The sequence below is a fragment of the Homo sapiens genome, chromosome 20 (genome assembly GCF_000001405.40).
Source record: "Homo sapiens chromosome 20, GRCh38.p14 Primary Assembly".
Classification (NCBI taxonomy): domain Eukaryota; kingdom Metazoa; phylum Chordata; class Mammalia; order Primates; family Hominidae; genus Homo; species Homo sapiens.
Window position 1 is genome coordinate 53,575,650 of NC_000020.11, and position 22,531 is coordinate 53,598,180.

Here is a 22,531-nt window from a genome sequence, read left to right on the forward strand (position 1 = left end):
ATCTCCACTGAGAATGCCTGGATTAGCTATTAATCACTGTAGGCAGCCATTTAAACACGACGCCCCTCATGCAATACCTTCTAACGTCGAGCTGGATGCTGGACTACCAGCAGGCACACAAGTGTAAAGTGGCCCGGAGCCACCATAGGGCTTCTGAACAGTCAGCACATTTGGAGAATCGACCTCGCTGGAGCTCAGGAACCTTGGTTTGGGAGGCAGCGCCTGCGACGGATACACACAGTCCTGCGGTAACAGTGATGTGATGCCTCTGACCATATGGTACTTGGGAAGGTCATAGCCTCTTCTGTAATTGGCCCCGGGCTGGTCAACGTCAAGGGCAACCACGCTGGACTTCAGTCTTTTTGGAAGGGGCTCACCAAATTCTGCTGCAGTATTGCTGGCACTCCGATTACAGAAATAGTCTCTTCCCGGAGGTGCCCACGGGCTGTCGTTCTTGGCGGGGTAGTCGATGGAACCATTGATGTTACTGCTGCCGAGGGTGGGCTGAGAAGGAGCTACTGGAAGAGGTTTCAATTTTGTCTCGGGTCTTTTTGTCTTATCCGGTGCAGGGGAAACACTGGTTTTAGGAAACATCTCAGATTGCTGTTGCCTGGTGGCGGCCCCTTGGACCCCCACATTCTGCTGTGGTCTGTGGGACTTCAGGTTACTTGGGGCTAAAGTGCTAGAGTCTATCCCTGAAGTCAGAGGGGCCTTGCCTGGCCCAGGAGGGCTCTGCTTCCCCTTCGCAGATGGCAGGGATTTGGACTGCGCCGGGAAAGCAGACTTGGGCTTGGGTTTACAGAAACTAGAGAGGGGAGGCACATCTTTTCCCAGCAACGCTGGCGGGCATCCGGTACGTCGACTTCTAAGCAAGGACTTGTTTCGACAGTTTTTATGAACGTCAGGATTGTATTTATGCTCCAGTCTCTGGTGCATCATTAAAACTTCTGGATAAAATGTCTTGAAGGTACAAAATGGACAGGTGATACTTGGAATCAAACTTTTACTCAAAGAAATTGCCGGGCAATTGTGAAGAGCCCCCACGGATAAATTTAAAGGTTTTTCGTGACAATCCACACTTGGCCTGTATCTGCAGTCAGCTGCGGTCTCCGTTTGCTTCTCTTTGGGGCTAACTTCAAGGTTATGGGTGGTACTGCCATCCGGAGGAGGAGTAACATCCGCCTTGGTTCTACAGATGAGGTTATTTGCCTGAGTTTCAACTGCTGATCTCTTTTTTAACAGGTCCAGGTAAGCAGGGGTAGGGTTTTTATTCACTTTATCAGCACTGTCATCAGCTGCATTTTTATGGAAATCCTGAGTATCTTTGTGTGCTGGTGAGAGGACAGCGCTGCCCAGAACATTCTGAAAAACAGAAGGCATCTCCTTAAGCTGCTTTGCAGGTGGACTGCCTGTAACATCTTTGGCACCATCAAAAAATCTTTTCAAATTTTTGGTTTGCGCACTGTCAGCGGTTAATAGTGCATCTTCAGTGTCCTGATTTTTACCATCGTTCTTGACTTCAGCAGCAACATCGGTTTGTTTTTCCTTGTGATGTCTCTCCAAGTGATACCTCAGAGATGTCTTCTGGGCTGCAGCATATTCACAAAATTCACATTTGTATGGTTTTTCACCTAAGGCAAGAAATGGCACTTTATTATAGAAGTGTATGAAAAGCACTGAAATAGATCAAATATCTATTTATTAAGAAAACAGGCTTCTTTCCTCCTTTTGCTTTCTCGATCTACTATCACATAGGATTTCTCATCAGTTCTTTATCATCCTTACTGTAATGAATATTTGAAATTATGAATGCCTATCTTCAATAGAAAAATTAACAGCAACACTTCTAACTTATTTAATCTTCCTAACAGCCCTAGGGAAATATGTATTATTCTACTTTTACAGCAAAGAAAACTAAAAGCACAAAAAGGTTAAATAACTTGCCCAAGGGTGCACAGATAGTAAGTGGAAGAGATGAAATTTCAAATCTACGCAGCCTCCTACATCATGATGTCATAGCTCCTTTCACAATCTCAAGACTACTAAATAGATTCTCATTTCATTCTCAATCATAAAGACATAAGATGCAGCATTTTAAAATACTGTAGCTTTTAATAAGATAAGAGTCAGGACATAGCAGTCATAAACTAAACAAATGAACTTTGTCCGGGCGCGGTGGCTCACGCCTGTAATCCCAGCACTATGGGAGGCCAACACTATGGGAGGCCAAGGTGAGCGGATCACTTGAGGTCAGGAGTTCGAAACCAGCCTGGCCAGCATGGTGAAACCCCATCTCTACTAAAAATACAGAAATTAGCCGGGTGTGGTGGCAGGTACCTGTAATCCCAACTACTGGGGAGGCTGAGGCAGGAGTATTGCTTGAACCAGGGAGGTGGAGGCTGCAGTGAGCCGAAATTGCACCACTGCACTCCAGCCGAGGTGACAGAGCAAGACTCCGTCTCAAAAAACAAAAAAGAAAGAAAAGAAATGAACTGCAAATAAGAACAATGGCTCAAGTTACAATGGCACTAAAAGAATAAAAATAACCACTGCAATCAACATGCTACATATTTATCCTTAAGCTAGTCCAAGGATCTGGCAGAGTATCTGAACAACAACAACAAAAAAATTAGATAACTACATAATTTAACTAATGCATGGTTAAAAAAATAAAAGTTCTTTACCTGTATGCGTTCTGAGATGAATATTGAGGTAATAATTTGAACGGAAAAACTTTCCACAATAACTACACTCTCTTGAAGATGTAAGATGTTTTATTTTTCCTCCATCATCATTTTTATCTTAAAGGAAAAACAAAAATATTTATATAAGAAGGTAGCTGAAGTACCTGAATAAGGCATGCTGACTTAAATATTCTTGACATAAACATTTTTGGAAAGCATGAAAAAATTCTTTTATATAACATCGGGTTAGAACAAAACGGCTAGACACACACCAAATGCTGTTGGAGGTTGTTTGAAGTTTTAGAGTGTTATAACATGATTTTGTTTTGTTTTTTTCTGGGTACAGCAGAGTACACTATTAAACATTCAGTTCTTCGTTTGCCTTAATCACAAGAAAGATCATTTCATAGACTGAATTGCCCGGGCAGCTTCCGGTTCTCAGTGTCTCTGAGCAGGCAGGATCTGGCAAACTGAAGGTGGACATACATACTGGCGGGAAAAATTATCTTCTTCAGAATAATTTAGAAAAATGAGCCAATTACAAACCGTCAACTTCCCAACCACCAGGGGAAAAATAAGCCGTTTAAGGTTAGGATTAAACAACTGACCACTAGAGGGCAGCAAGCACAACTTAATCTTCAACAGAAAAGAAAGTCTGGCATTGGGCAAGCACCTAGGAAAGTCTGTCAAAATTTAGCAAAGTTTTGGAAAGCAGGCTGTATTGTCCACAAACACTCATGTGGGCGAAAGAGATCTGACAAATGAAAACCTGTCCCCAAATGACAGTGTTTGGCTTTAGTTTCTGCAGGACAATAGGACAATGTGTCTCACGTGCATCAGGAGAAGTTAGAGTCCACTGGAAGGAGGACAGAACTTCAAACACACACCAGCCCTCCAAAAGACAATCAGAGGTGCTGCCGTTAAAATACCACCCCCAAAACACATGAATGTTTAAGTTTTAAATAAATGTCCCCTCACTGTAGATCATATCACTATCCACCTGTAAGACAGACACCCTTGATGATCTATATAGTGTCTAAAGAAAGAAAAAAAAATTTACTTGATCTTCTTAAGTCTTAAAAAAGCCAGGATGATAGTACAATATGATAAATCTAGACTACTAAGATAATATAAGTTTAGGAAAATCAATTCCCCAAATACAGAATGGCCAGCTTTTTTTTCTTACAATCATACCCAAACTAGCTGGGTTTATAACTGGGCGTTGTTGCAATTTCCGACTCCCAACTATGTGTCAGGATTTATGGTATGTTGCGTCATATCCAAAAAGCTATGAAATGCCTTTTCTTTAGAACAAAGGACATGACATTTCCACATCTACCTGGTTCCTGCTCTTTCAAGCATCACCTCTGACTTTACAGTTATATTTTTTAAAGGACTGTGATCTTTTTACAAATAGGCTGTTGAAATTGTCCTTGGGAGGTGGAAGACAGGGGTCAATGAACCATTTTGCAAACAGGGAAATAGTAGCAAAGAAAGGTTAAGCAACTCATAATTGGTCACAAAACAACGCAGTGGTAGAACCAGAACTCAACGCCAAGCTGGGGTGCTCCCACCCACAGCCAGGCATTCTGTCCTGCCTGATGATCTAGCCCATGTTTTCCACACCACCTACCGGTAACTGGCCTTTTCATTTCTTTCAGGGAACTGGGGCATCTCACAGGGCCCCTGCAACAGTACCGGCACTAGCAGAAACCACTTAGCTAACTGGAGTCTGTGTTTAAAGCCTCTTTTTATGATGCCATTAAGACATTAGATTTGTAGTATGCTAAGTGCTGGGTTTCCTGTGTCCCAGGAAACTCAAAAACATTCTAAAGATTTGATATACAGACTACAGTTCTCACGTCAATCACATGATCAGAAAAGGAACTGGCACTGGCTGAAGAGCAGGTGAAGGAAGAGTCCAATCAATCGTGTGGGCAAATTCATCGTGGGTCTCATACACCCAGTTTTCCGAAGAATTCAAGCACACAATCAAGTGACACTGAGAGGAGGAGGCACTTGTTTTAACCGAGGACCACTTTGACAGATGCTTCCCTAAGACCGATTCATGTTCCCATCATTCGCTTGTCAATTACGGCCTGCCCATCAGGGTCTTTTCAACTGTTTTAAGCAGCAAGATCCTCTATTCAAACAAAATACTAAACTCTGATAGGAGAAGCTCTGGCTACAGTGAGGATGGGCGCAACTCCAAACACAGGTGGAATCCTTTGCCCTAGATAACGCCCACCAGGGCTCAGGAATATTATGTGAGCATGCCTTCAGTGATCACCTTCTCTTTCTATAAATGCCACTAGTACACTGAAAATTCTGCTGAGCAAATGAGCCTTCTTAAAAATGTCTTCAGTGTGCTCACATTCCTTGTATTTTATGACAAATCATTTGGGTTCCTGAGGTACCTATAAATGGATACTAGCTTGCCAGACAGAAAGGACAAGGTTTTGGACAGCACCAAACGGCTGCCCAAATAATATTCCTGGCTCTAGTTGATCATCACTCCCAGTACCTTTTATGGCCACTAGAAATTCACTACAGAAAAAGATCAGGAACGCCAGAAAAACTTAAGTGAAGGCTAGGGTCTCTCAATGCTCAAACTATTGACATTTGGGACCAGATAATTCTTTGATGATGGGGCTGTCCTGTGCACTGTACCATGCTGAGCAGTGTCCCTGGCCTCTGCCCACTGGATGCCAGCAGGCACACCCACACACACAGTATGACAACCAAAATGCCTCCAGACATTGCCAGATACTGATTGGGAACAAAATCGCCCCAGTTAAGAAGCAGTGCATTTGGGCTGGATGCACAAGTTATTTTTTTTTTAAAGTGTGTTTTGTGAGCAAAACGATACACGTTTAAAAAATATATATATATTTTCAGAACAAGGAGACCTCTTAACTCAACCCTGTTATTACAGAAATGAGAAAATTAAGGCCCTGAGAGGTTAAATGACTTACACAGAGTGATACCAAAAAGAGCCTGGACTTGACTCTGGCTCTCCAAACCCCATTCCTGGCCAGCGTTGTCTGGAGATGGGAATAGAGAGGGGGAGACGGGGAGACAGACAGACACAGGCGGAACAGCACGGGACGGAGACAGGGCAGCTTACCCAGATGGATTCCTTCGGGAAGCCCATCCTCAGATCCGTCTTCAGAACCACCTTCCCCTCGATCCACGGCTCCATTTTCATCCAGAGGGGCGGCGAGGTCAGGAGAACACGTCCCCGGCTGCCTCCCGTCCACAGACATGGTGGGCGACTCCGCGCCGGCCCTCCGGTCCTTCTTGTGGACCCTGGAGTGCAAGACCAGCTGGTGGTAGGTTCTGAAAGCTTTGCCGCACTCGGAGCAGTGAGTGGGCTTCTCCTTGCTACTGGGTAACTTGGGATCCGCGTCCACGGAGGGCGCTTCGCCGTGGGAGTGTTTGCACTTCTCTTTCTCTTGCGAGAGGCCTGCACAACTGCCCTTATTTGTTTCTCCAAGCTCCTTCTCGGAACTCGAATCGTCGTTGTCGGTGCTCCCTTCTTGCCCCGATTCCTTCACTTCTTGGCAAATGGCAACTTTTCCTTTGGTAGCCAGCTGCCAAGCCTGGAAGGTGGTGAACGGATCGAGCTGAGGGATGCATCTGACAGGCTTCTTCCCCGTTTCAGGGTGAGATTTTGGTCTCAAGTTGAACAACTGCAGGAAGTCCTCCCTCGAGGACGGCATTCCTCCTTGTGGAGAGTCTGTCTGCGCGCTGCTGGTACCGAAAGCAGTTTTTTTGGTGTGCACCTTGCGGTGCTCAATTAGACTTTCTTTATTTGGAAATAGGAAGCCACAAACCATGCAGATTTTGTAAGGAGAGGAGATGCTCTCGGCCGCGTGCACCTGGACGACCTCGTTGATCGTTGCTGGACTACTCTCCAAGCCTTGCTGCAGTTTGCTTCTGGCCCCCGATTTGCCATTATGTGTCCGCATGTGATTTTTAAGAAACCAAGGCTCCTTGAATCTTCTTCCGCACATGTTACACCCGTAAGTGAAAGAATCTTTGTGTGTTCTCATGTGGATCTCAACATCAAAAGCGACTCTAAATGTCTGCCCACATACCTCACAGCTAAATTCATTTTCCTTGCAATTCTTTTCCTTGGGAGGTTCTGTTCGCACTTGACTTTTATCAAGCGGACTGAGATACTCTGCTTCAACCCGAAGAACTGCTGGTTCACAGAGGGTAGGCCGGTGTTGCATTAAGACATGTTTATTAAGGTCTTCTGAATGTGTGAAGGTCTGGCTGCAGAACATGCAATCCAAGGGCATATACCCCTCGATTTGGATGACATTTTTTTCTTGTGTAGCTCGGAATGGAACAACAGCGGTCCCTTTCATTGACAAGGCATCCTCCATCTCCATCGGACTGCCAAGAGAGCTGCCAATCACTTCTGGCCCATCCATGTACATTAAGAGGGATTGAGTTGGCATGTTTCCTGTCACTTTCGATTGCATATAATCTCAAAGTTCCGTTGGGCAATTTCTGGAGTTGGAATAAGGCCACTTGTAAGACTTGTCACTCACCCCTCTAACAGCCCTGGGTTCCAAAAACCAGAGCAAATATTTATTATAAAAGTTCAAAAGAAAGTGTATAGTCCTCTAACTTCTTCGAACTTTTAGGAAGCTCAGTGATGGTGTCACTGGTTCTTTCCACAAACAAGGCATACAGGGTTCCCAATGCCTCGATTCAAATATGAATCAGCACAAAGCATTAGTTCTCTTTGTCTCCATTGAATGAGTGTTTCAATTGAGCAAGAAGTCAATCCCAGCAACCTGGAGACAAGGGATTTCCAAACCCTAGAGGAAAAAAAACAGAAACGGTTAGCTACACTCAGAGCGAAGAGAAGGCTGGTGTGGGTGAGTCATACGGTCTTTTCCACGCAGCAGAGAAGGTACCTAATTCAATTGCTTCACTTTTAACTAATATATAGGGCATCCTGTTAAACGTGCTTGTTAATTAAATCATTGGCATTTTATCCAGTCAGTACACTTATTAAATCAGAATTTCATCCAGTTAAAATCCAGTTTAAATCAGTGCTTTACCGACTTAAATCTAAAATGTCAAGTTTTAGGTCAGAAATTGTTAAATTCAGCTGAATACATTTTAAATGCCACTAAAATGCACATGTGGATGCCATCAACAGCCTCCCTAAATCTAAAGACTATAAGAACTGTGAAAATTAAGATGAAAAAATTAAAACACTTTAGTAAACTATTTTAAATCCAGTGTATACAAAACAATTTAAAATTTGTTTCATATACAAACAAATCTGCATCCAAGAAATCTAAGTGCCCAAACACCCCCTTAGAGATTTTGCACATACAGAGGTCAACAAAATGAGCACAGAAATACAGAAACTTTTCCTAAAATCCCCATTCAAGAAATACTTAACACCTCAGAATGGTCACTCATCTTGGCCAGGGGAACCCTGATATATTTTGGTTCACTGGATATTCGAAACCTCAATCCACTGTTCAAATCCCAGCTTGCTTTCAACGACTTTCTGCCTTCAACAAGCACTGGGTGGGGCTTCCTAGTCCAAACAACAAATAGGGAAAGACATACACAAAGCTCCTTTGTGAATGTATAGATTTAAAATAAAATCCTCAACAGGGCTGTTTCAACATGGCTTAGTCTTTCATCAGAAAATGGGCCCTCTCATTTTTTTAATCTACCTTTCACATCATGCACTGGCCAGGTGGAAAATTACTTTATTTAGCTCTGCTGCTTCTGGTTTAGAAGCTAATTTTCACTCCTGGAGAAGAATTAACTTCTAAAGCCAATACCCTCTGCCTTTATGGCAAACATTGGATAGGCATTGTTTTTAAATAGTCCCAACTACTTAAAACTTAAGTCAGTTAATTCCACCCAAGAAAACCAAAAGGCATGCAAACTACTCCCAGCAAAGTAACCTTAAAAAACAAAAGCATACTTTACTTTCCTCCCTCTCTCTACTTCCTTAAAGAGCAAGGAAGGCCTGCAGGCTCAGAGAAGCCAAGGAAACATCTCCTCCTTTACACTCCGAAATAGAAATTCTCATACTCCTTGTTATCTTTAGTTTTGAATAAACTAGATCTTTAACATTAAGCTTTTCTAAATAAGACTGCAGATCAAGGATTAGGGTAAAGGAAAGAATGTCCTGAAGTCTTTTCTTTGTTGCTATCACAATGGAGGATCAACACATGGGCTGGTGACCAGCTTGGTGTGATATAATAGAACACTCCAGAGACCCGAGTTCTAGTCACAACCTTCAAGTTGTCACTGCCACATACCACATCTTTCTATTATCTATTTAACGCAGTTGGTTAAACTATAGGATGGCCTTTACAGTTCCAATATTCTGTGGTTCTGGGGATAGAGCTACACATTGAAAAGAATATTCAATTACTCTGCTAATCAGAATGTGAAGTGACTTAGGTTTCTATACATAGAAGCTTAAGTTTCATTTGCTTATTCAACAAGTATTTACTGAATGCTAGCGTCCCAGGCAAGGTTTTAACTGAATAACAGCACATACCCTAGAAAAACAGTTATCAAATTCTGACAACGCTGTTTTCCCTGGCCAAGAACAAAGACTCATTTATTTGAGGTCCTTCCTACTTTTAGATGCTAAAATACGCTTATTTTTTAAAAAATCAAATAGTGGCAATAGGCAATAGTGGAGTTTTTTGGTTTTTTTTTTAATGTCCTTATTTAGCAAAATCAAAGTTCAGTGAGAATTTGAAAAAAAAAAAAAAAAAAAAAAACTAAGTTAGTCCCTATGTCAGCTCTCAACATTATTACTGTATTTTAGAAACTTGACTAATACGTGAAACTGTAATTTTGGGGAACTCCACTTCTCTACTGACATCCTTTAGAAAAAGAGACACCAGCTCTACAGTCTCGGGATTAGAAATATGATGTGAGGACGGGTATAGTGGCTCACACCTATACTCCCAATGCTTTGGGAAGCCGAAGTGGGTGGATCACATGAGGCCAGGAGTTGGAGACCAGCCTGGCCAACATGGTGAAACCCCTTATCTGCTAAAAATACAAAAATTAGCTGGGCATGGTAATACACACCTGTAATCCCAGCTATTTGGGAATCACTTGAACCCAGGAGGTGGAGGTTGCAGTGAGCCAAGATCGCACCACTGGTCCAGCCTGGGCAACAGAGCAAGTCTCCCCTCTCCGCCCAAAAAAATAAGAAATATGATGGAGTGTTATTTCCCACTCAGGGAAACAGCATAACTTAGTTACTGAAAATATTTATTAATAGAAAGATGTTTTGGTTCCAATTCTCAATTATCTGGGTTAAAGAAGTTACCATCACTCTCCACACAAGACCTTGTAGGATTATTTCACTGCGGTGAAGGACAATGAAGGAGGTTCAGTGGGAAACGATCTTAGGACAGAGGAAGCTTCCACTTTGCCTGGGAGGGTGAACAGCCTGGGAGACCTGGAGATGAGGGCAGGCATTCTAGGCCAAGGGGTCTTCTTGTGTGGTCAGATGGGGAAGGAAACCCTCCTGGCAAAACAGCAGAATTCTTTCTCCAGGAAAGCTTCTGAGACTGACTCTAATAGTCAATTGTGACCAACTGTCCTAGGCTCCCAGGGCCACAGCAATCCTTAGGCACCCCAAATGTGCCATCCCTGACTACCCAGCACACCCTACCCCCCCAAAGTATTGTGACAGCTCAAGGATGACTTCCTCTGAAAACCTCTGTCCAGATCTAAAACCATCCTGTTTGTTTGCTTGTAACTGTCTTTTTCTAAAAGTAACACCTCAGGATGGAGACTGTTGCCTTGTCCACTGCTGCCCCCAATGCCTGGAACAAGGTGCCTGACACAGGATTAGGCACTCGACACATAGCTGGTGAATAAATGTCACGGAATTAGCACACGTGTAGAATCAGTACACACGTTTGGCCACAGTCACTAACCGTAACTGATCAGAAATTAAAATTAACTTGCATGTTCATCAAAACTTCTACATGGCTATCAGCGACTGCCATCTAATTGCCATTCTGCAACTTCAAGAGTACAATTTCAAGAGCGTAATAAAAAAAATCGTATTTAATCACACCATAAAGTTGATCAGCACAAGCAAAAAAAAAACTGCACTATTTGGATTTATACTCACTCTCCTTATGACCCTCCAAAACAAAAATGCTGGGCATCCTAGGGCTATCTCTGACAGCAAATGCCTTCAGCTCTTGACTTAGAAACTGCTAACACACTAGACAAAACACTTCCTTAAACTCTAAGACAATGAATAATACTTTAAACCAGGTTTACATCCCTTAAAACCAATTTGCTCATCAGTAATCGTTAAAGTGGTTGTAACAATAAAGACGTTAATAACAGAATACAGCAAAATAGAAATTCTAATCTACTAACAGCAAATCACCGTTCCAATTGAATGGGGTGTGTGCACAAACACAAGCCTTCCCAGAAGCCTCCAGCTCTCCACACTCCTGCACACAGAAGGCAGCAGTAAACCGATGGCACTGCTGATAAAGTAAATTGTCTTTCTTGACAAAGAACTGGAGGAGAAAAGCAGGATATTATAATCCAACACTATAATCTAAATGCTTCTAGCTTGCAAGAAAGTGAGCGTTATGAACACGCTAAGCTTACTGAAAAGTACTTCACAAAAATGTTTTCCAATGTTTAAAAACATTTTAAAATCTTTACTCAGGTAAACGACAGAACTTAACTCATATACCCCCTAACACCTAAGGCAAGTGGGCTATTGAGTATAGCCATATTTTGAAAGAAACTTCTATTGGGATTATTTCAGTAGATACTTTTAAAATTTACCAGAGCGTAATCTTTGAAATCCAGTAGGAACCATATTGCTAGAAAAGGCTGGAATAGAAGTGTGATGTTCTTTAGGTCACTAATTACACACTGATTTGTGACTAAAGCTACCATGAATTCTACCACTACCTGTAGATCTTGAAATCAGCAAATAGGACACATTCTACACTGCTTAATAAAAAGCACAGTAATCTGTGCTTAAGTACAACTAACTAGGTACAACAGCCACTTTGCTGACAATTACTGTAACTTGGGAATATTTTTCTTTACATCCTGATGTACTCAAACTGTTAACTTTTAGAAACAGCACAGCCTCTGTTTCTTCTGATTAACAGGTTATCTTACATTGTTGATATGGAATATGCATCTACCATAATACAGCTTTGAATAAGGTATTCAAAGTCCTCAAAAACACAGAAAAATTATATTTATACACAATTTGTCATACTGCTAACAAAGCTACTTTTTCCCAAGTTACTGAGGTGTCCAAATAAGGAGTTATTAAAAAATTCAACTTAAATTGCTATTCTCTGGCCAATGCATTTGTACCCTGAAAACTACAAAATTATCTCCAAGACCTGGCTAGAAGTTTACATTTTCTCTGAAAGTTTTTCCTCTGTCTTTTACGCACAGTATTTTTTCTTAATCTGACAAGTGGAGAAAACTCTGCATAGCCATCTACTAACAATCAAAAAGCTACAGGTTTTTTTATTTTTTATTTTTAATGCTCTAAATTCTTCAACACTGTTTCAAGGAAATTACTAGGGGTCACACCCATGAGGCTAAATGGTCAACCCAACTTTCCTAATTTAGCTGTGGAAAGATGCTTCCAAGTTAAGCGAAAGAAAAAGATTGGAATATTCAAAGTTTAAGGTTACAACCTAAACTCTTCAACTTGGGAAGCTTGTAAAGGAAATAATTTCATTTTGCTGAAATTGTTCATAAATTACCAATTTTAAATAGGATTAGAGACCAAAGTACTATAAAAATATAATCATATAGCATATTTGAGTGTCATTAACTAGAAACTGCCTGAATTCATCTTAAATCAGTTAAGGTCAGTTAAGGGATCTTAGTAAGAACTTAAAGTATAACATACTAGTTTTAGTTTCAATATTAACAGATACTGTCATCTGCAAAGTGGTTTTTAAAAACATCCTGATCTGAAAAAAAGTTATAATATAAGGAAAGTGAATTTTTAAAAACTTTAATTAAGCAAGATTAAGCATTGCTATCCGTTTCTCCTATTACTACTACTTAACCAGTACAACCTTAAATATCTGTAAAAATTTGACAGGCCTAACTGCACCAAAAAAAAAAGATTTCAGCAAATTAATTAACTGTTAATAAACTGTTCTATCTTTACCTGCACTAACTCTCTGTAATGAAAACACTGAACGTGTGTATACACACATCTATCTATATATATATATATATATATATATATATATACACACACACACACAACTATGCCCACTACTAGACCACTACACCATACCACTTCTTCCAATGAGCGCTCTCAATTAAACACAATTCAAGTAACCTAGTTAAATACAAGCTTAGGCAATGCCTTTTAAGGCATAAGATCGTTCTTCTGCAAGATTTAAATATTCCCCTCCCCATCCTATCTTTTGCTGACTACATACTAAAGTTGTATATCTGGCTCTTTCCAGTCACCTGTTTGCTTTCAAAATCAAGGGGAAAAGTCTCCTTTCAATTAGTAATACAATCATTGTTCAGTAGATTTATAAACTGAAGAAAAACTCTATATTGATTACAAAAGAAACAAAAACACTTCAGTATAACTGAGATGCTTTGTTATCCTTATTTGATAGAGGTAGAAGTAAAAGTAACTATTACTCCTAACGCTGATTCAAGAAATGTCTAGAGTCTACATTTCCAGTCCACTTAACTACATTTTAAATTCCAAAGGTTTCCAGACACACCAGAAAATAATGGAACACCAATACAGAAACACTACACGAGTCTGTTAAAAACCTAGCTTCTGAGTCTGGGGGAGCTTTTCTATAGGAAGTACAGTCATGTGGAGGTCAGAAACAAGTTTTGTAAAGCTTAATAAGAACAAAGGCTAAGTAAGGAATCCAACTAACTCTCTCATACAACTTCTTCAGCTGTCTTTTCAGGTTTAGTAATTTTATTTCTCAACTTTATCATAAAATTACCAAACTGTCCCCAAATTTCCAGTAACTCAATTATGCTGATACCCTGGACAGGAAGTAATGGAGATGTTCAGAACAGTCAGTCAACAAATGTTCAAATGGAAAGCATTCCAACGTTAAATATAAAAGGGTAATATGTGGCGGCAGCTGGCTAGCGGGGGCTTCCCCCCTATTTATCTGGAAGATAGATGTGTACAAGAATTGAGCATGTCATCGTGAGCTGCAGATTTTAGGAAAGAATGGTCCCTGTTCTTCCACTTCCTTAAAGTCAGATTTCTATCTCTCCTCGTGGTCTAAATTCAAAAACCTTTGCCCCAGATACCACTGCAAATTTGTCTGTTATTACTGGTTGGGGAAAAATAACCCAGTTCACCTTACTCCAAAAACATGAGCATTTCAGAAAAGTTTTTATACTGCCTCTAAAATGAGGCCATTAAGTGATATTCAATAATCAGGCTTCCTTCACCCGAATTTAAGAAATTTCCTGCCGTCTTTGTGTAATACATTTTTTTTTTCTTCCATGTGCGTTTAAATTTTAACACCCCTCCCCCCCGCAGAATCTGGAGAAGAGGTGTGCGGATCAAGACCCCCCCGCCCGCCATTGTCTCAAGTTTAATTTACATGCTGTAACCAAACCCTTCCCTCTTTAGAATATTTAACAAGATTGAGATTCCTTTAATTCCATGTTGGTAGCTGTTCTGTAAATACCTTTCAGGTTTTTATTTTTTAACATCCCAGTAATCTAAAAACTATTCTGTTTTTAGATTTCAATTGTAGTAACTGGATTTAAAATCTTATTACATTTATTTTATTAGTGGAATACTCAGTTTATGCAACTGTCTCATGTTTTTCATTCCTACTTTCTAATTCTAAGGCTTGAAAACAGCCATTGCTCAGTCCTTCAGCTTCACCTTCCCAATTCATTCATTAAACATTCCGCTCAGGGATTAAACTGAAATGGGAAATTAGGAAGGAACGATTTAAAACAAATCATACCCAGCAACCTCAAAATCTATAACATACAGGCCATATGGGCATACAGGAGATGGGACAATTTGAATTTTTTTTTTAAGCAAATGGAAACAAAGCTTCATATAAAACATAAAAAGGGTCCAATCATTTACTTTCAAATAGAGTCAGCTAAAAGTAGCTCCTTTTTTAAAGTGGCATCTTTCAGGCAGTCAAGAGTCATTAAAACTACTCCAAAGTTCTTATCAACCAATATCATGTTTGTGACAACTGTGAGAAAAGAATGTAATTTTATAAAGTGGGAAAACAGCACATCTTTTGGGACCCCTGAGGCTCTAATCAGGCATCTCAGAATTAAGAGTGCTCCAGGGTTGGGAAATGGCTACCCTGCTGTGGCAAAAACATGCCATTTCATAATAAATGTTGTTAAGAGAGAAAAAAGTGATTAGCATGTATCTGCAATGAGGAGATAGAAGGACTTAGTCATTGCCAGGCCATTATATTCCTTAATTATTTCATCAGTTTATAAGTGACTTGATGATTAAGTCTTATTTTCAGATTTCCTCCAAAACAAGTCCACTGGAAGGGGATTAGGGGCTCCTACTCCTCCCTGAAGTTTTCCTGCCAAAAATGGAGGCTCACAAAGAAAAATGCAAATCTACCCCCACCTTAAAAAAGTAAAGGCAGTCAAAGTCAAAACCTTCACTGCTCCTCCTTCCTCCCCTACTACCTGGAAAAAAATTTTGACCTGTTAACCAAAATAGATTCCTCAGGGTAAAGGGGAGAAAAGTTTTCTACAAATTTTTTCTAAGTGGTGTATTAGTTCCTTTTTTTGAGTAAGAAGTGAAAGGGAATAGGAACCCAACACAACTGCTAAACTTCGATCTCACAAGTTACTAAAAAACAGCAAAGGTCAAACTGCAAAGCGTTAGAAAAGTGTTGTGAAGACAAAAGGATTAAAAGAGTGGGACACTAAAGAAAAAAGTGTGTGTCCTTCACCAATAAAAGTCATATCTTGTCCTCTACTTCCTCCTTCTGTAGGCAAATAAAGACAATTCTAAAGGACTAGCTTTCCTCATCACGCCAAATCATTAAAATTCCAAACAAACAGATTATTAATCCTATTCTAACAATTAAAATAAATGATGAATCTGCCTTGGAACTACTGACAACTGTATTTTAAATAACTTACTGCCTCTTGAATTTAAATATAACCGATTAAAAATGGCAGCAACATCAGGGTTAAGAAACAAAACGAAACACTATTAGTCTCCAGAACCCTGAACAAAACAATATCTAAAATAAATATGACTTCCCAGAAGGAAAAAAGTTATCTACCATTAAGGACACACCTTAAAAGTTCTTAGCACACATTAAGTAAGCACAAACTAGTGGCTTGCCTGTTATATTTTCAGACAAAAAGCAATGAGGTTATTCCTCTGCACTTGTCACTGCAGACACATCAAGGCTTTTAGAAACTACATCTATTACTCGTTGTCTAAGTATCATAAAACTTAGCATTTTAAGTCTTGTTTGATATCAATCAAGAAAGAACATCCACTTCAGGGGAAAGAAGTACAGTAAAATAAGAACATTGTAAATCTCCTTCTTGACATATACAAAAGAGAAGGTAAAAGGCCTCCTAAGACCCCTACCTAGTGGCCAGGCCTGGACGGCAGCTGTTGCTACCTCGCCTTTTCTTTTGTTGAGCTTAATCTCATGTCAAGTCATTCAACCAACTCAAAAGCAATGAAGACATAATTGAATCAACCTGAACTAAATCAGACCTAGGCTTCTTAAAACATACAGCTTAATGCTTCCAAACGATCTAGAAAACTGAAAAACCTAGCTACGCTGTAGGACACACAGTGGCCAATAATACAGGACCCCCAAACTGGCCAGTGGACCACTGCAACCGCCATTTACTTTCTCCGTGTTTAGGAATGTTCAACGCTCCAAGCCCCATAGACTGATTCAGGAAGATAAACTGAGGCTCAAGGAATTTCGAGGTAGAACAATACACCAAAGCCTTAAACCTGAAATGACTACCCTTTTCTGGGGGGTGGGGGGAAAGAAAAAGAAAAAAAAGTTTCTGGGGCTCTCAGGGCGGCCCAGATGCCAGGGTCCCAGAAGTGGCCTTTTCTAGCTCCTGTAACTAAACCTGGCGGAAAACTCCCTGCCTGCTCACCCCACCCCCACCCGCCCAAGAAAGCGCCTTCCCGTCTTCGGTGGCCCTACCCAGAATCCCAAAATGTGGGTTCCAACCCGGGCCCTGAACATCTTCTCAAACTCCCGGGACCCAGGTTCCGGCGCGCGCCCCGCGTGCCGGGTCTTGCCCCTCGGGCGGGACCGCCCAGGCAGCCCCAAATCCAGCCTCCCGGGCCCCCAGCAGCGCCCTCCGCCTCTCCACCATCCCGTCCGGCTCGCAGTCGGGGCCAAATCGAGAGACAAGAGGGCTGTGCCTGAAACTGAGCGGTTTCACCACTCGGCACCTCCTGGCAGAAACTTCCCTTAAAAAAAAAAAAAAAGAAAAGAAAAAAAAAAGCAGCAGCACTTTTGGGCTAGCATTTCAATCCTTCCTGCCCTTTAGAGTTCCCAGTTCTGCTTCCAGCTGGCTTTGGGTGTTCCACTAGAATTGAGTTGTAAAGATATTCTTTAAGTGTTTATAGAACATTAAGACTTAAAAAAATCTTTAAAATTAGAGGAGGGAAAAAAAAAGCCACCTTATCGCACACATCCAGGAAACGCAGCCCCGTGCATCCCTGTTCAGGGATGAGCAGGCGCCCCAAGACTCCCGGGGACAGATTTTTGGGCACCCGAGGGAGTCACGGGGCGCGCGTCGGGGTCCGCGGCGAGGCCCAGCCCCTCCCGCGGTCCCTTAGAGGCGCCCTCCGCCCGGCCCGAGTGGACCGTCCCGGCCATTGTTTACGGGGGGATGCCCGTCCGGACGCATTGTTTTGGCCGCTTCCAACTTGCCCCGGCCCTTCCCCGGGCATCGCGGGGGGACCCTACGCCGACGTTCCCCCTCCGCCCGCGCCCCAAGGGCCAACTGGGCAAATTGGGAGACCCGCCCCGCGGGGCGACCCAACTTTTCGGAACAGCCCCCCACCGCCCACCCCCGCAGACCCCCGCTCCCGGCGGAGATTCAGGGAACCCCGCACCCCAAGCCCCTCTGAATCGTGCGGCGTGAGTGTGACGGCCAAGAGCGGATGCAGCCCGGGATCGCCCGCACCTTCCCGCGGGCGGAAGCGCAGGAGCCGGCTGGGGAGGGGGCGCCCTAGAGGAGCGGATAGAAAGCTGAGACGGGGAACTGAGGTCATCCTGGGGGGGGACAAGACAACGAGAGCCGGGCGCCTCGGGGGCGGCGCGGGAGCCTCCGCAGGACCGGGCGGGCGCCCCGGCTGGCGCGGGCGGGGGGCGCGCCCCCTTTACCTGCGGCTCCGGCTCCTCGGCCATTTCCTCGCGCGGCGGCGGCCGGGACTGAGCTGACACCACTCGGGCCGGCCGGGTTTGAATGAGGAGGAGCGGGCGCGGAGGGGAGGGGGCGGGGAGGGCGGAGGGAGGGAGGGAGGCGTCGCGGAGTTTCTCTCAGCCTTTTGTGCGGACACCTCCCGGATTCCGCGCCCGCACCCGGCCCCCCAAAAGACACGGGGAGCCGCGGGCGAGGGGTGCAGCCATCCGCCGAGGAGCCTAGTGCCTTCGCGCCTCCAAGACCCCCCCCCAACAAAAAAGGAGCGTCCCCCACCCCCACCCCCGCCCGGAGAATATAGGGGCCGGGCTCACCTCGGGCGCGGGGCTAAGGTGAGCGGGGCGGGGGTGCGCACGGGGGCAAAGGCGCGGGCGCCCCCTACTCGTCCGCGCGGGGACAGTGCAGGCGCGGGGGGTCCCTAGAGCCGCCGGGGCGCGGCGCGTCCGGCGCTGGGGGACTGTTGGGTCAGAAAGTGTTCAGGGAGCAGCTGTTGCGCCCTCCCTCGGCCCCGCCGCTCGGAGACGCCCCGCCCCCTGCCTTCACCGGCCGCCCCGCCCCCTGCCTTCACCGGCCGCCCGGCCACGCCCCACACCGCCCCGGCCCCGCCCCAGCGCCCACGTGACTAGCATAGGCGCGCCCCTGCTCCGCCCCCCGCCGCCGACTCCGCCTCCGGGACGGGAGCGAGCGGCGAGCGCGCGCACTCCCAGTTCTCGCTCGGCGACTCCCGCGCACGCGCGCGCCGTGCCACCCTCCCCGCGCCCCCCGCCCCGCACCCCTCCTCCCGCCATCCGGCTTAACGTGGCGGGCGCGCGCCGCGGCGGTAGCCGTGACAGGTACCCGGGGAGGCCGGAGGGAGGGGGCCGCGAGGGTGTGCGCAGGCGCAGATCCGGCCCTGTCCCCGCCGCCCCCTCCTCTGCAAGGTGTGCGCGGGCGAGGGGAGGGGCCCGCGGCCCGAACCCCTGGGTCACCCCGAATTACAAACAAAAACCTTAACGCCGTTGCTCGCGGGTTAGAAGGCAGCTGTGCGCGAAAAACACCAAAGATTTTCTTCAAGCTTGAGGAAGGTCGAGAAGATAAACAGTTTTTAAATGAGTATCTTCAGAAAGCTATTTAATTGTTGTGATTTTTTTTTTTCTGAAAGGGCTGGGCTTGCGCTATTCTAACTTGAGATTTCTAAACTTAGCCTAGGTTCCAAGAATCTACTTGGTTTTGATAGAAATCCATTTGGAGGAAACCGGGGACAAAAAAAGGGACAAAAAAAAAAAAAAAAAAACCGCTACCCTTTCCCCTCCTCCCTACGCACAACTCATTTAAAGCGTTTCCCAAATGTTTTCTTTCCTTACTGAAAAAAAGGACAAAAAAAAGATCCTGATTCCTAAGGCCTGTGATATTTCCCCATTTTAAATAAGCTTCGAGGAACCATAGACATAACAAGCACATCCACAATTTTTCTACCCCAAAATGCAAACTAATGCAAATGTGAAATGGATCTATGCAAGTCGCTACTAACAAAATAGCCAAATATTTGTGTTTTTACCGGCCTTCAGCATATCCAAAATGAAAAAACTTTAAAACACATCAAGAAAAGCATTTAAAATATCTATTTCCTAAATCAAAAGAAAGAACGCACTACAGAAACGATCCGGAGCTGGTGAGCAATGCAATCTTAATAAATAGGAAAAGGAATTTGAGAAGACAGCTCAGCAAAGGGGAAGAATTTGCCAAGTGTCATGTTTTGCTGTCATTTTATATATAACTACTAACCCCACATATGGTCTGGTTAGTCTTTTTTAAAAAGGAAGCGAATCAATTACTCACAATTAATTAGCAGTGCCAGTAGATTCTTAGGCCAGCACTAAAAAACTAAATTGGGTGAATTTTTTTTCACTCAAGTCCACTGATATTGATCACTTTTAGTATTAGGATTCCTTTTCTGACAAAGGATGAATACCTATCTTTAAAATATATTTTTTAAACTTATTGTCACATTCTAAAACACAGTCCAAAAACACTTCATAAACAAGAAACTTCATTTAACTTTATGAAAACAAATGACTATGAGCCTTGCTACACAACAAAGAAACTATGACCAAGTGGAACCAGGTTGAGCCTGAAGTGTAACCTCATTCTACATGTTAATGGATAACCTTTGAACTCCGAGACCTTGAATGCTGTAAACACAATAGCACTGATAGTTAAAAATTCTAGTGTCAAAATCGAGCAAAAAGAAAAGTCCAAACTTTTCAGGGGGAATAGGGAAACAATCAAATATTTTGACAAATAATCGTTTCAGTAAGAACAAGGAGATTCCTGGCTCTCAGACCTTGTTGCTACTGAATTATTTTCTGAGCAAAAACGGTTGTGCTTGTTTTCCCCCTGTGCCCTCCAAAGCTACCACTTTGTTCACATTATAGCATCATGATTTGTTACTGTTTCGCCGCCTCTCTCAAAAAAAAAAAAGAGAGCGCCTTATTATGTTGTAGCTTTTAAAACTGAAAGATGATTATAATTCACTGATCTGTCTGCTAAGAGTTTTATTTATATGTGATCCTCCTTATGTTTGAGCAAAGAATTACAAAGAACCTTGTCCTGGAGTCGTGCCAACGAAACTGGGAAATCGTTGCAAAATTCTGCCAGTGACTGACTGCTGGGTTGCAAATACATACTGTGTTTTCAGAAGGACATAGAGGGATCTGAATTCGCCTGGGAGGGCTTTTCCCTAAGACACATTCTTCCCTTAGAATGTGAGACTCATACTTCCCATTTATTTGGAAAGCATGTATAGTTCAAACAATTAAAATATGGAAACTCCAAAAGTAACAGGAGAACACTGGAAGCATTTGGTTTTGTAATAAAAGCTAGGAACTCATACTGCACAAAGTGAAAATTGAAAATCGAACGTTGGTCTTCCTATGCTTAGCTCCACCCACAAGAAATCCAGCTTCGCCATCACTCCCTGCGTAGGCCATCTCTAAAGGAGTCAGGTGCTACTAGATGCCAGCAAAAAAACAAAGAATGGAACCAAAAGAGAAGCTCTGCACATGGTACTTGGAGAAGGGGCAGAAAATCCCCACTTCACCTTCTTTCAATGCAGCAAACATCAGCTACACCTCATTTTTCACAATCATCCAAACAGGCCCTCCTTAAGACATATTTCCTAGTATGCGCTTATAAAATCACACCATTATCTCTAATTTAATCCTAGTGATATAAGGCCTCTTCGTTTAGCCAACATCTGATTTTCTATCCAGATCCTGCCAGTCACAGCATGCTCAGATCTAGTAACATAACAAAAAAAAAAAAAGAAAAAAAAAAAAAAAACTTCTGATTTGCTGTATTTAACACTTACTGGAATCCTCTTTTGAGACTCAGCCTTAATTAGAAGAACAGAATGAGGTAGGATCTTCTTATTTCACAAGACGTTATTTTACTGTGGAACTATTATAGAAAAACTATTTGGAAACTGTGTGTAAATCCCTGGAGCTGAAACAGAGCCAACATAGATACGGGACGTAAAAGAATTCAGTGTTCAGAGCAGGAAAACCTGAAAAACTGCAGTGAGGAGTTAGCAGGAAAAGAACATGAAAAAGTTAGGCAAACCTGCCAGCATCTGCAAACTACAAAGGACATTTGAGAAGGAAACAGGGACAGCCCTTTGAACAAGACTAAATGCACTCAAGTAAGTAGGAATAACAAACAGCTCGAAGGAGCACCACATTGCTCTTTTCTATTAAGTTTCTTGATCCCATGCAAGTCACTCTTCTGTAAAGTATCACAATAATATACTATTAAAAAAATATATTTATATATATGTATATATATATATAGCAGAACTTACCTTTCAGAAGAGAAGGCAGGGTCTGGAACCTGATAACTCTGTAGGACTTCACTCTACCTGGCTCCAAACAATACTGGAAGAGATGTGATTGCGGGTTTTTATAAGCACAGCAAAAAGGGAGGGGTCAAGAATAAGACTTAATTTAAATAAAGGTTTCAGTACCCTCCCAACTTGATTGGATTAGTCAATCTTGATAAGGTTGACAGCATTTTTTAACTGGATTTGTCCTATTCGATGAGTGCCCTCCCCCACTGCAAACACAACTCATGACTCCTCTAATATTCTGGATAGTTTTCTGAAATTACCTTCACTCAAAATGTTAATGTAAAAACTCCCTTAAAAATTGCACACAAAACACAACACTGGGAACGCCTCTTTAAAGTTTTCTGCCTTCATTAGATATTCCAAACAGGAAGTTTTGGAATGAGGGACGGAGGGGAAGAAGAGGGTGACTAACATTAATTGAAATTCAATCATCATTATAATCTCAAGCCAGAATCTTAAAATCTAATCAGGATATTTCATCTCCATCTACTCCACCCTACACAGA

At 42.9% G+C, this 22,531-nt stretch overlaps 1 protein-coding gene across 13 annotated transcripts in view, besides 8 other annotated features; it reads right to left on the minus strand.

Moving 5' to 3' along the window:
* ZNF217 (zinc finger protein 217) overlaps positions 1–22,053 on the minus strand; it is a 30,632-nt gene extending 8,579 nt beyond the window's left edge. For 2 of the 13 annotated variants that reach the window (XM_011529036.2, XM_047440464.1), the window contains exons 1-4: positions 21,982–22,053; positions 5,812–7,519; positions 2,685–2,801; positions 78–1,631 (exon numbers count right to left, since the gene is read on the minus strand). In XM_011529036.2, the coding sequence (XP_011527338.1) occupies positions 78–1,631; positions 2,685–2,801; positions 5,812–7,177 (3,037 nt within the window). In that variant the 5' untranslated portion in view covers positions 7,178–7,519; positions 21,982–22,053. Of the gene's footprint in view, positions 1–77; positions 1,632–2,684; positions 2,802–5,811; positions 7,520–8,117; positions 9,446–11,102; positions 13,051–16,912; positions 18,191–18,457; positions 18,704–19,131 lie in introns of those variants that run through there. The other 11 variants (NM_001385034.1, NM_006526.3, XM_024451997.2 and 8 more) reach the window with 9 other exon arrangements.
* Positions 6,191–6,982: an enhancer, noted in NCBI's record as "H3K27ac-H3K4me1 hESC enhancer chr20:52198379-52199170 (GRCh37/hg19 assembly coordinates)". NCBI's record gives its function as "activates a minimal SCP1, AML or CMV promoter by ChIP-STARR-seq in naive H9 embryonic stem cells {active_cell/tissue: H9 hESC(naive)}" and the evidence as "EXISTENCE:reporter gene assay evidence [ECO:0000049][PMID:30033119]".
* Positions 6,380–6,509: an enhancer, noted in NCBI's record as "active region_18119". NCBI's record gives its function as "activates an Ori minimal core promoter by ATAC-STARR-seq in GM12878 lymphoblastoid cells {active_cell/tissue: GM12878}" and the evidence as "EXISTENCE:reporter gene assay evidence [ECO:0000049][PMID:35858748]".
* Positions 6,540–6,609: an enhancer, noted in NCBI's record as "active region_18120". NCBI's record gives its function as "activates an Ori minimal core promoter by ATAC-STARR-seq in GM12878 lymphoblastoid cells {active_cell/tissue: GM12878}" and the evidence as "EXISTENCE:reporter gene assay evidence [ECO:0000049][PMID:35858748]".
* Positions 16,901–17,140: a silencer, noted in NCBI's record as "silent region_13048". NCBI's record gives its function as "represses an Ori minimal core promoter by ATAC-STARR-seq in GM12878 lymphoblastoid cells {active_cell/tissue: GM12878}" and the evidence as "EXISTENCE:reporter gene assay evidence [ECO:0000049][PMID:35858748]".
* Positions 17,561–17,710: a silencer, noted in NCBI's record as "silent region_13049". NCBI's record gives its function as "represses an Ori minimal core promoter by ATAC-STARR-seq in GM12878 lymphoblastoid cells {active_cell/tissue: GM12878}" and the evidence as "EXISTENCE:reporter gene assay evidence [ECO:0000049][PMID:35858748]".
* Positions 18,201–18,280: a silencer, noted in NCBI's record as "silent region_13050". NCBI's record gives its function as "represses an Ori minimal core promoter by ATAC-STARR-seq in GM12878 lymphoblastoid cells {active_cell/tissue: GM12878}" and the evidence as "EXISTENCE:reporter gene assay evidence [ECO:0000049][PMID:35858748]".
* Positions 18,371–19,210: a silencer, noted in NCBI's record as "silent region_13051". NCBI's record gives its function as "represses an Ori minimal core promoter by ATAC-STARR-seq in GM12878 lymphoblastoid cells {active_cell/tissue: GM12878}" and the evidence as "EXISTENCE:reporter gene assay evidence [ECO:0000049][PMID:35858748]".
* Positions 21,011–21,060: an enhancer, noted in NCBI's record as "active region_18121". NCBI's record gives its function as "activates an Ori minimal core promoter by ATAC-STARR-seq in GM12878 lymphoblastoid cells {active_cell/tissue: GM12878}" and the evidence as "EXISTENCE:reporter gene assay evidence [ECO:0000049][PMID:35858748]".
* Positions 22,054–22,531: the final 478 nt, after the last annotated feature.